At 37.1% G+C, this 11,416-nt stretch overlaps 1 long non-coding RNA gene across 1 annotated transcript in view; it reads left to right on the top strand.

Annotated features, from left to right (window-relative positions):
* The first annotated feature begins 760 nt into the window (after window positions 1-760).
* The window catches only part of LOC105374506 (uncharacterized), a 165,476-nt gene continuing 154,820 nt past the window's right edge, over window positions 761-11,416 (top strand). Inside the window, exon 1 of the long non-coding RNA XR_939997.3 lies at window positions 761-10,220. This is a non-coding gene — a long non-coding RNA (uncharacterized LOC105374506). The remainder of the gene's footprint in view (window positions 10,221-11,416) is intronic.

Genomic DNA, 11,416 nt, shown 5'->3' with positions numbered 1-11,416 from the left:
CATCACCTTTTTTCTTATGTTGTCTTGGGATTCTCAGCAGAGCAGATTATCAGAATCTCGATTACATTTTGAAGTATGTACAAAAAAATCCTCTTGTTGTTTCCTCAGATGATTTTAGAGGCTAATAAAAACTTAGCCACTGGTAGCCAAAATGAAAAGGGTAAATAATTGAAAATCAAAAAGAAGGGCAAAGATGATGATGTTTCATTTAGCTATTTTATAAGACCTACTGAGCCAAAGCACTTATATAACAGATTTGAATGACATTAAGTATTATGTAATTAAAATATGTCCAGAAACTGCTTCTCAGTTTAAGAGCTACACATTTTCATGCAAAGCATTTATTTAAAAAACTATTATGTTCTAGCTCTTCCCCATATATTACTTATAGTCAATACAATACTCTGAAAGATGGGATCATACTAGTATATCTTGCTGATTAAATAATGGAGGTTTAGAGAAGTAGTAAACTTAAAATTTCACAGCTGGGGCCGGGTTCAGTGGCTCACGCCTGTAATTCCAGCACTTTGGGAGGCTGAGGCGGGCAGATCACGAGGTCAGGAGATCGAAACCATCCTGGCTAACACAGTGAAACCCCGTTAATACTAAAAATACAAAAAATTAGCCGGGCACGGTGGCGGGCGCCTGTAGTCTCAGCTACTCGGGAGGCTGAGGCAGGAGAATGGCGTGAACCCGGGAGGCGGAGCTTGCAGTGAGCTGGATCCTGCCACTGCACTCCAGCCTGGGCGACAGAGCGAGACTCCGTCTCAAAAACAAACAAATAAAACATTTGATGATGTTTGTTTATTGTGGTTTATTCTTTTAAATGAATTTCTCTCCAATCTGTTTTTTAGCTTTCTTGTAAGTAACAGAATTTGGTATTTTATGTTCCAAATTGTGCACTTGGCCCAGTTGTAGTGGTTATGATGAGGTGTGTGTGTGCGTGTGTGTTAACATTGCAACAACATAGGTAAGGTTCCTCCTAAAACTTGCTGGCTTGGGACCAGCCTTGAGTAGAGTTTATGGCTACCTGTATAAAATGAAGTTATTGAAAATAAAATGTATAGAAACAATTTTTTCTTTTAAATGTAGGCTACTACACTTGTGGATGTTTATTATTAATCTTTCCCCCATAATGGAAGCAGTGTTTGGCTATGGGCCAAAATGATTAACACAGTGGTACACAGTAAATTGAATATTAGAGAGTCAAAAGCCAGGAAAAGCGTGGAAACAGAACTATATTTTGTGGTTCCCAGAGTGGTTTCTGCTTGTGAGTCTACTCTGGTAAGCTACAACTCCCTGTTATTCACTTGTTTGTCTCTCTAATTTTGGGGACAACAGTTTGCCCTGTGTCCTCATCTCTCTTTTGCATCCAAGAAGAGTTGTTGATTTTGTACTCCACATTTTTATTTGTTGTCCAGACAAGAGTGGTGACCTCCAAGCTCCTTACACACAGAGCTAAAAACTAGAAGTTAGTTTAACTTTTTTCATTGCCACGTTCATATGCTCATGTTATAAACATTCTTACATTCAGAAGATAAAAATAAAGAGAATACACACTTCCCTTTTTCCATACATACACAATACTTCCTCCCATGGACTGTTCATTAATTCAGACTTCTGAAGTTTTCTTTAATATATATGCAAATATGTGACTATCCTCTTGCTTTATCTTGAAAAATATTCATAGAAAAATTAGTTGTCACATTAAGAAATTTTTGATAAGAATCCTTCTAATAGCTATTAGTTTTAAGTACTACAGAGAATGACATTAGAAATAATTTAGTTCAACTGTTTCATTTTACCATGATGACACTTGAATAGCAAAGGGGTTAAATATTGGTGCCAGTCATAAATGTGGTTAATAATGCAATCCCTGTCTGTTGGCACGCAGGCTGATGATTTTCGTAGTTTTCTTCACTTCATGGACGCAGGCTATCTCAACCAATCAGTAAAATAAAACATGGGACCCCACAGACTTTCAGGGTCTTATGAAAATTTTTTGAAAATGTAGATACTGAAAACAGTGTACTTGTGGTGTGTATTTATGCCCATTTCCTAAATTTTGATGTTCTCAGAGTTTTATCTTATCTTTTTGAAACCAGTGCAATTTATCTAAAATGTAATGGTTTCTGGAAATGTTCCTTTTTAAATACATTAAGATAACGAAACCACTCACCAGATTGATGATAGAGATTATTCCCAGTAGAAATAGGGTAGGAGTGGGGGTTAGTAGTGAGTGTGTGTATTGAATAATTAGGGCATTGATGAGTCAGTAAAACTGATCATTGGAATCTCGTGAAATGAAGTTTTTTTTCAGTAAATTTCCCTAGATTTATCAGTCATTAGAGTAGTATGCTCAAGAGGTAATTTAGACTGTTCTGCCTTCATTAAGCATTTTTTTTTAATAGCAAGTGATCCTTCTTGAAATGACCTTCTCAGGTGAGGAGAAGATTGTAGTTATAGCATCATTAACAATGCTTTTCTCTTCAGAAAAAAATGTTTTGCATGCATGGAAGTTAAATGTAATTTTTAAAACATTCATCTTGCTCTAGAGGCAAACAGCAGAAATTAATTTCTCATTTTTATATAGCTAAAAATACCACAGAGCATGGAAAAATGGATTTCTTTAACTGAAAGGAAAAAAATTTGTATGAGCATGAAATACCAAGATGGTTTGAGAATTCATAAAATGGTCCTGCCTTGAGCATTAACATCTTTCTTGGGCCTAGTCTAATCTATGAGATGTGACATGATGCCCTTAGGTCATTGTGAATTCATCCTAATTCTTGATTAAAAAGAAGAAACTTATTCTCATGGGTGCGATCATGACTTTTGCAACAAATGCAACATTGTCTTTTGCTGTTTATTCCCTTCAAAAATCCAGTGTGTTCATTAATCAAAACATACATATTCTGAAGAAACCGATTACACAACCCCCTAAAGGAAAGCCCTTTAAAGAAATGCAGAGATCCAAAGTGCCGAAGGACAAATTGTCACTTCTTTCAAGTAGTACTTTATGTATTTCGTGGATGATTTCTACACAGACTAGGCCATAGAAACCAGTGCGTAGAAATGCTTCTGTTACATGTTTAGGATCTATCTATGTTTTTTGACGATGAATGAGAAATTCTGGTTTGCTTTCAGAGTGGTACAGCAATATCCATGTGGTCCAGAAATAAGATTCCATGCTAATTTTCTTGTTATAAATTTTGAATTTTGCGTACTGAGATTTTTTTGTCTATGAATTCTTTTATAGCACCTGAATGTTTTCCTTGAAATGTATAAAATTTACACATTTAGATTTTCTGCATTAAAATGCCATTGTGCAAGCTTTCTTACAAAATAAAAAACAGAAATCTACTAGCCCATAAAATGTTTATCACCCTGACATGTGTCAAAAGGATATATTTGATGGCTGTGAACCTGAGGAAGTACAGCATTTTGCCTGTGCTGTGTCTCATGTTTCATCTTTATTACGATGAGATGAGATGGTTTCATTTCAGTTAATCCTATTTCTTTTAGGACCTACATCTATGTTAATTGTCATGGCTAATTAGCCTTACAGTAAAAGTAGGCAAACCAACAAAAGAAATGCCCTTTCAAAGACATGCTTTTTGACAATGCATTTTACTATGCAGTAATGTGGTTGGAAAGCAAAACAGTCTACTAACCATTAAGTTCTTGTTTTAGAATAGTCACATATTTTGTCATTACTCAGTTTCTCAAACATTGTGTATGTCATACAAGACAGGTTTTTATTTGTCAGCATTTAATGTTGTTAGAAAATAACCACATCACAAGAGTTTACATGTAAAATAAATTCTACTTTAATAAGACTCTGAATAATAATAAAATTTAAAAAGCAAGAGTTGAAGTCAGCATAAACAATATTTAGTGGACAAGTTCATGCCCTGAGTAGCCTTTTCTGGGATAGACAGTGTTCTTTTTCTTTTGTCCTATATTATAAGGAGCAAAACATCTGCATGAATAATAAATTACATGTATGTATGCTGGAGTAATTAGGACAGCAATCTCACAAACTGCATTAGGCTAGTATTGTCCTTGACCCAGAGTCCTTATGTGTGTATGAAAACTTCAGTTGTGTAAGGTACAATTAGAAATGAAAGGTTTTTCTTTCTTTTGAGGTGGGAGGTGACAACCACTACATTTATTCTTTCTTTAGTTATTTCTTCAACATATTTTTGTTGAGTGCTACCAGGCTAAGGTACAGAGGTGAACAACTCAGAAGCACTTTCTGTCATCATGGAGCTTGCAGACTACCAGGGTGAGAATGGAGGACTAAAGATAGGCAAAAATGCATAATGCATCACCTAGAGAACATAACCCAAAATGACTGAACCAGCAACTTAACACCGCTGCTATCTTCAGTTAAGTACATGCCAAGTAAGATGAGAAAAGGCCTACAACATCTCATGGACAAGCTTTGGAGAGCAAATAGGTTTTAAACGTGACCATTCCATGAAAGTCCCCATCTATAACCTCCAAATGCAAGAGGGAACTATGAGGTACCACTATCATGTCTCACAACACGAACCCAAGAAATGAAAGCTAATAAGAAATCTCCCAAACCTGAGGGAGAACCAGGGAACAAAACTTGCAAGAGCACTAGAGCAGTGGCCTGAATCCCGAGTTGTCTCTGGGTGCACCTGCCACTATTGCAATTCTTACTCTACTTACCATCAATTACTTCTGAAGACCAGCTACATGTCAGGCATTATAAACATATCATCTCTTTTAACCTTTAAAGAATCCATTTAGGAAAGGAGGAAACTGGGTCTCAGGAAGATTAAGTGATTCTCTTAATGCCACAAAGCTAGTAAAGGATCGGGCAACCACCGTGTCTCTGTCTCCGTAGATTATCATGTCATAATTACCACAGGCTTACTCAGTTGGAGGAAGGAAAATGGGACATTATTAGCAAGATTTTTTTTTCCATAGCATGGTCTTGAAGACCTCTTACTGTGTTTTCTGAAGTGTTTTTCTTTCAAAAAAAAATTTGTTAAACAATTACACTTAAACGCAACAGTACAGCTGGCTTACTTTAATGAAAGAAAATATAACAGGAAGTACATTTTCTTCTCTTAAACTCAGGTATTTTAATAGTTGAGTTTTCTAAAAGTAATTGTTATACTAGTCTGTAAAAAAGAATGAGTCATTTAAGCAGCACATTTTTTTAAAAAAGGTCGTTATAAATGGGCGCACAATATCACGTACAATGAGTTTATAGTGAACATTTTTGTGTTCAGGCTGAAAAGGCTTCTTGCAAAGGCAAACAATTCAGCATTGACTTCTCTTTAAATCTGCCTTTGGAGCTATCACACAAACACTGTGGTGAGAACTCTGTTTCTGTTACTTACCAAGGCTTAATGAAGCTTACTGCCAGGCACATTTTGAATAGATCTACATTGTGGCAGCTTCAAAGAAGGAGCCTTTGGTGTTATATTTCCTAAAGCTGATGTTCTTGACCACAACGTGGTCATTTTTGAGATAATGTGATAATCTGGCAGGTTCCCCAGGAGGACCAGTTATTTTACTCAGACTCATCATATTCTTCTCAACGCCTCTGCCTACTCTCTTGATATCTTATAGATAGATGATAACTATCATGGTGTAGACGGTTAATGTAACTTTTCAACTAATTATGTGGGTATTTTCCAGTCTTAGCACAGCATTTTTTTTAACCTCAAGTTCTTCTTTTGAAGGCTTTGAATATGACCTTGAAGTGTCTTGAGAGAAAAAAAGACAGTAATGCTTAGCTTCTGTTTTGTTTTCTTTTCTCCAATGAAAAGAATGGCTTTCATACTGTAAATGGTAGAATAAACATGACTGAGGGACATCAAGGCACAAGAGAGATGGAGCAGTGGTAAGAAAGCACCCACACCTAGATTGTCAATAATGGCTAGTCTGTAAGCACAAGTGGAAGTGGATTGCATCTATGGGTAGTGAAACAACAGTTGATATGATTGGGAAACAATTTTAGTGGTTTTACAAAGATCACACATTGGAGCAGTACAGGAGATTGTAGATTGGGTCAGCTTTGATTCTTCCCAAAGCAGATTCAGAGATCAAAATTTGGGTGCAAGTAGGTTTTTGGGAAGTGATCCCAGAAAGCACAAGGTGGGAATGAAGAAATGAGCCTGGAAGGGAGGAAAGCAAATGAAGCTGCATCAATTAGTGAATTATTCCTATTGGAAGTTTGGCTCATTTCATCTAAGGTCCTTCTGAGAGACTATAGAATATGTCTCAAAATTGTCTCACAGAGGGAGAGTCAGCAGGGGTGCCTATTGACCAAACTGAATTCCTCATTAGGATGCCCTGGGAAAAATCCTGGCCTGCTGACGTGTCTAGCAGGCTCCCTTGTGTCAGAGAATGCCCTCTGGCAGATATGACAGAAGCGTGTGCAGGGACTAGGCAGTGACCTTCAGGGAAGGCTGAGGTGATATGGGTGGGGGTTCTGACTGCACCTGCCACAGAGTAATAAAAGTGAACCTAATTTTCAGATATGGAGAAAATGTAAACTGTAGAACCTTTATATTCACGAAGTGAATTTTAATTTCCAGAAAAAAAGCCTATTTTTTAAATGTTAGGAAGAAAGCAATCAACGAGTACACACATACCAAAAAAATGTCAATATAGCCTCATTTAAGAAAAACACATTATTAGAGTTGTTTATCAGAAACTTTGATTTTAGAAGCACATGTAATCAACATTTTTTCTATATCTTGTAGATTAAATGAATGAAGCTGCAGATAGGCAAATTTATAGGTAATTGCTCAACAGGATCTAGCATGTTGATGAATGATTACTTGTCATTCAAATTAAGTGTGTCTAGTCCTTTAAAGCCAATTCATTTTCTTTTGAAAAATATGAAAATATCTCATACCCTTGCATGGATTTTGATGTGTTACTTTAGTGGGGCCATGTCTTCCCTCTTGGCTATGAGTGTCTGTGGCCCACACGAAGGTTTATAATAGTATCCTCAAAAGCTCTGTCCTGTCCTGTTTATTTTTATAAACGCTATGGATGAAGACAGGGAAGGCAAGTCTGTAAATTTTCCATCAGGGATAAATAGCTACTGTGGTAGGTGACACAGATGGGTTCAGTAAAGCTCTCAACAGCCTGGAATGATTAACTGAAATTAATGATTGGTTTTATTAGGGTAGAAATATAAGCTCTTGCATATAGGTTAAAAAAATATGCCAGCTTTGAGACGAGGAGTACTTGGTTTACAATAGTGTATAAAGAAAAATCTAGGGCTTTTAGTTCATTGCAAGCTTAAAACAAGCCAATTTATTTAAGGGGCCAGAAACCCTAAAGCAATTTCAGACTGAAGATGTAAAATCATATGTCCAGAACAACGAGGTTCTACTCTATGTCTTACTATTCAATTGTATTTAGTGGATTGTGCTCCATCCTGAAAGATTAGCATTTTAAGAATCAGTGAGAATATTAGAGACCATTTAGATTCATGCTTCTTTGCCTGGGTGCATGTGCTCATGGTAGTATGCAAGGTATGCCAGGTGTACCAGGAGACATAGGATAAATATGTCAAAACTTCCATGAACACCGATTTTGCTTGAGTATTCAAGGAGGGAAAGCGGATTAAAGTTACTAACAGGTTGAATAGTTGGAAACTATTGAAAAACAGTTTCAAAGTTAAAACACATATTATATTATAAAGTAGAATACAAAGACCATATAAAGTTCTATGTTAAAATATGAGACTTCTGAAAAATCTCCACTTGCAGATGGTAATTTTGAAAATTGCTTTCAGAACTCTGGAAATCATGGGTTCTGTCTCTTCTGCAGGTACTTTAATTCAACAAATATTTACTGAGTATCTAGTCAGTGCTAGGCACTGGGCTAAGTGCTTGGGATATATCAGTGAACAAAACTAATACAGAGTCCTGGCTTCATGGGAACTCATATTATGAGTAGAAAAGTTCAAGAAGCACACCTTATCCTTAATTTTACAGATGAAAAGGTGAGAAGGCATATAGCTAGTCCTAAGTTCTATTCCTAGTTCAATTGCTTGCTAACTGTATAGTCTTGGGCAATTATTTCATTTCTTTAAGACTCAGGTTTCTCATCTGCACAGTAGTAGAGCAAGACCTATCTATTTCATTAATGGGAGTAGTAGATGAGATAACATGGGCAAAGTATTTAGGGAAGTGCCTGATACAGAGTACACATTCAACCGTTCAATAAATTATGATTATTGTCAGAGAGGTCCAGTGACTTGCCTAAATTCACACAGTTGCAGAACAACAGATTTGTACTAAAACTCAGGTATTCTGATTCCCATTTCTGAGCTCCTTGTATGACAGTGTAATCCTGGGTATCATACCTCAGAAAATAAACAAGGCTTATTTGTACTTTTTTCATTACTAAAGTAATTCATGTGCGTTTGAAAATTAGGAAAATGCACATATGCAGAAAGTGAAACAATAAAACAACAAATGAAAAACATTCAGCACAACCCTTCACAACAGTTTAATTAAAATTTTGGCACAATCTATCAGCCCTCTTTTTAATATATAGTTTTGTTTTTAGCAGAGCTATATTCTATCTATTTGGATTTCTATTTTGATTTTTTTGTACATTTATTATTAATATATATACTTTCCCTTATGTAATAAGGAAGGTTTTTATTCGTTCAATAACAGCATCCCAGTCTGTTGGGAGTATGACAATTTTTTAACCACTTTCTCCATAGTCGACACTTATGCTGTGCTAATGAACATCTGCGTCTGACTAGCTTTATGGCCGTATGAGTGCCTGTCTTCCCAACAGGCAAGGCCCAGGCTCTTGCAGAACATGGTTCTGCCTTATATATTGGTGCTTCAGGAAACTCAGGCCTGATCCTTTAATTCACCCTTTAAAACTTGCATAATCACTCATGCTTTTCCCAGGCAAAGATCTTTCTTTTGGGATGTGTTTTTTTTTTTTAACCTGATCCCCCTTTTCTTGGAAGTTTCTCTGGATAGCCCCTTTGGCTCCCAAATCACCTCCATTCTACGATATTCTGTCTTGATCTCCTTTGCTCCTCACTTCACAATCACAGATCTATCGTGTCTATCCTGGTTCTCTTGCTTCTCACGGGATCCGTTGGTGGAGTGGCTGAATGAGTGTTTAATGTTAATGTTTTATATGTTTGTGTGTATGTGTGTGTGTGTGTCTGTATGTACATTTATGTGTGCATGTTGAACTGTAGTTTCAGACTATAGTCCTGAAAAATTCTAGAACACTTTGAGCTTTATGGATTGTTAGACTATGCAAGAAATTATCTGTGTGAGTTGTGTTTGGGTTAGGTATTAAAAATATATATTGCTAGAGGTGTTTGTTGGAGGAAGTTTTATACAATGGAAAAACATGCCCTACCATGCGGATACATACTGTACACAAAAAGATGATCAATCCAGATCTTCGCTAATACAAAGAAAATATGACCCATAGCACTTGACTCTGTAGGTCAGAAATTGAAACAGATATTCCCATAAAACTCTGGAGAATGATGAAGGCCTCGGGGAAGCAAGTCTACACTGTTTCTCTTTCCAGTGCTTTCTCGAATAAGTGTAAAACATTAGTGAGGCTTCATCTGAAGGTCAGAAAGTTTACACAGTTGGAGTTATATGAGTATCAGGCTTTCTGAATTAAGATTCAGAATTCATATCTAAAATTTGAGGCTGTGCACTGTTCCACATGACTGATTTTTTTTCTGATACATAAGATATTATTTTCCAGTATAATTAATGTCAATCTACTGACATCAGTGAAATGCACATGAAATTCTAAATGAATGTGCCATTAGATGTAACTCTTAGTTGTTACCTAAAGTCAGGGAGCAACACCAAAAACAGAAATAACCTTCCTTTATACCAGGAACTGTCAATACAGCATATTTTTAACATGATGAGCTGTAGAGGGAAAATATTCGTGTATTCTTCAAGATCAAATGTTCATAAATCTGGAGACCAAGAATTATTCACATTTTGAGTTTTTGTAGAATTCTGCTAAGTAAGGTATTAGAGTACTCCATGATCACTCAGCAAACTAGTACTGGTATTGATTTCTAATTTTGTCCAATTTCCTTTAAAACTTTCTCTTTGATATTTTTGTAGCTCTAGCACCCTTGAACACATGATTGAGGTAGTTTTGGCCTCACAGATGGAACAGCTTGATGCTTGCTCAAAAAGGTAATGAAACATCCTCAATTCCTGATGAACATCTCTTTTCTCCTTTTTGGGGGGACATCTCTTTGTTTTACATTCACATTATCTCTATATCTCAGTGCTATTTCTCTTGTCTTCATTGATTTCAAGTATCTTAGGTCAGGAGTTAAAAGTTAAATAGTCAGAGCCAGGACTTGGGTCCCCAGCCATGGCTTCCCCAGACTCTCATGGACCTTGTGGTAGGTAAGCCTCCATGGTGATGAGCTAAAAGTCAACAGTTTTCATTCTGCCTTCCTTGTCATGTCTAAGCCTACTAGGTAACCAAAGTATATCCTGCATCCCCTCGGCTTGCCTTGGTTCTAAGACATGACCTGCAGACTAGATGCAAGAATGCTACAAACCTGTGCCCCTTGACCAACTAATAGACCCCAATGGAGGGAAATGAGAATAAATGTGAGGGAGACCACAGTCCTTCTACAGGACATGTGATTTTGAGAGAGAAAAGGATGGATGGAATGGGAGAATGTGGGGCAGCTGCTCTCCATTTCTTTCCTTTCTAAAAGAACTGAGATAGTGCCTCTCATTTAGGGTACAGCAAGTAAACATTTCTTCATTTGGCTGGTATGTATTTAGTCTCCTAGCTGTCAGCCATTGTGGTAGGTTTAAAAAAAATAAGAAGCCTCAACAATACTTGTCTCCAGCGAGCTTACATTTCATTTACTAGGGTGTGAGGAAGATGGGAAATGAGAGAAAAGAGAGGCGCACAACTAGTCACAACTGAGGTAAAATGCATAGTAGGTACTCACTAAATACTTGCTGGGTGAATGAACAGATGGATGCATGATTAGAATACCACTTCAAATCACTCCCTGAGGCGGTATTCTGAAATGGACTTTAAAACAGAAGAAGGACCTTAAAAGGTGGATATGGTAGTGGTTATCTGAATGCAGGATGTGGCACACGTGAAGAGCAGTGAGGAAGTACTGGGAACTGTTCAAGGGCAGTGGGCCATTTCTCCGGCTGGAGCAGACTGTGTGGTAGGGGGAAGAGTGGAAGATGAAAAAGTCTAGAAAGGTCTGGCGTGGTGGCTCACGCCTGTAATCCCAGCACTTTGGGAGTCTGAGGCAGGCGGATCACGAGGTCAGGAGATCGAGACCATCCTGGCTAACACGGTGAAACCCCGTCTCTACTAAAAATACAAAAAAAATTAGCCAGGCGTG

The sequence above is a fragment of the Homo sapiens genome, chromosome 2 (genome assembly GCF_000001405.40).
Source record: "Homo sapiens chromosome 2, GRCh38.p14 Primary Assembly".
Lineage (NCBI taxonomy): Eukaryota > Metazoa > Chordata > Mammalia > Primates > Hominidae > Homo > Homo sapiens.
This window is presented reverse-complemented; position numbering and strand designations above follow the sequence as displayed.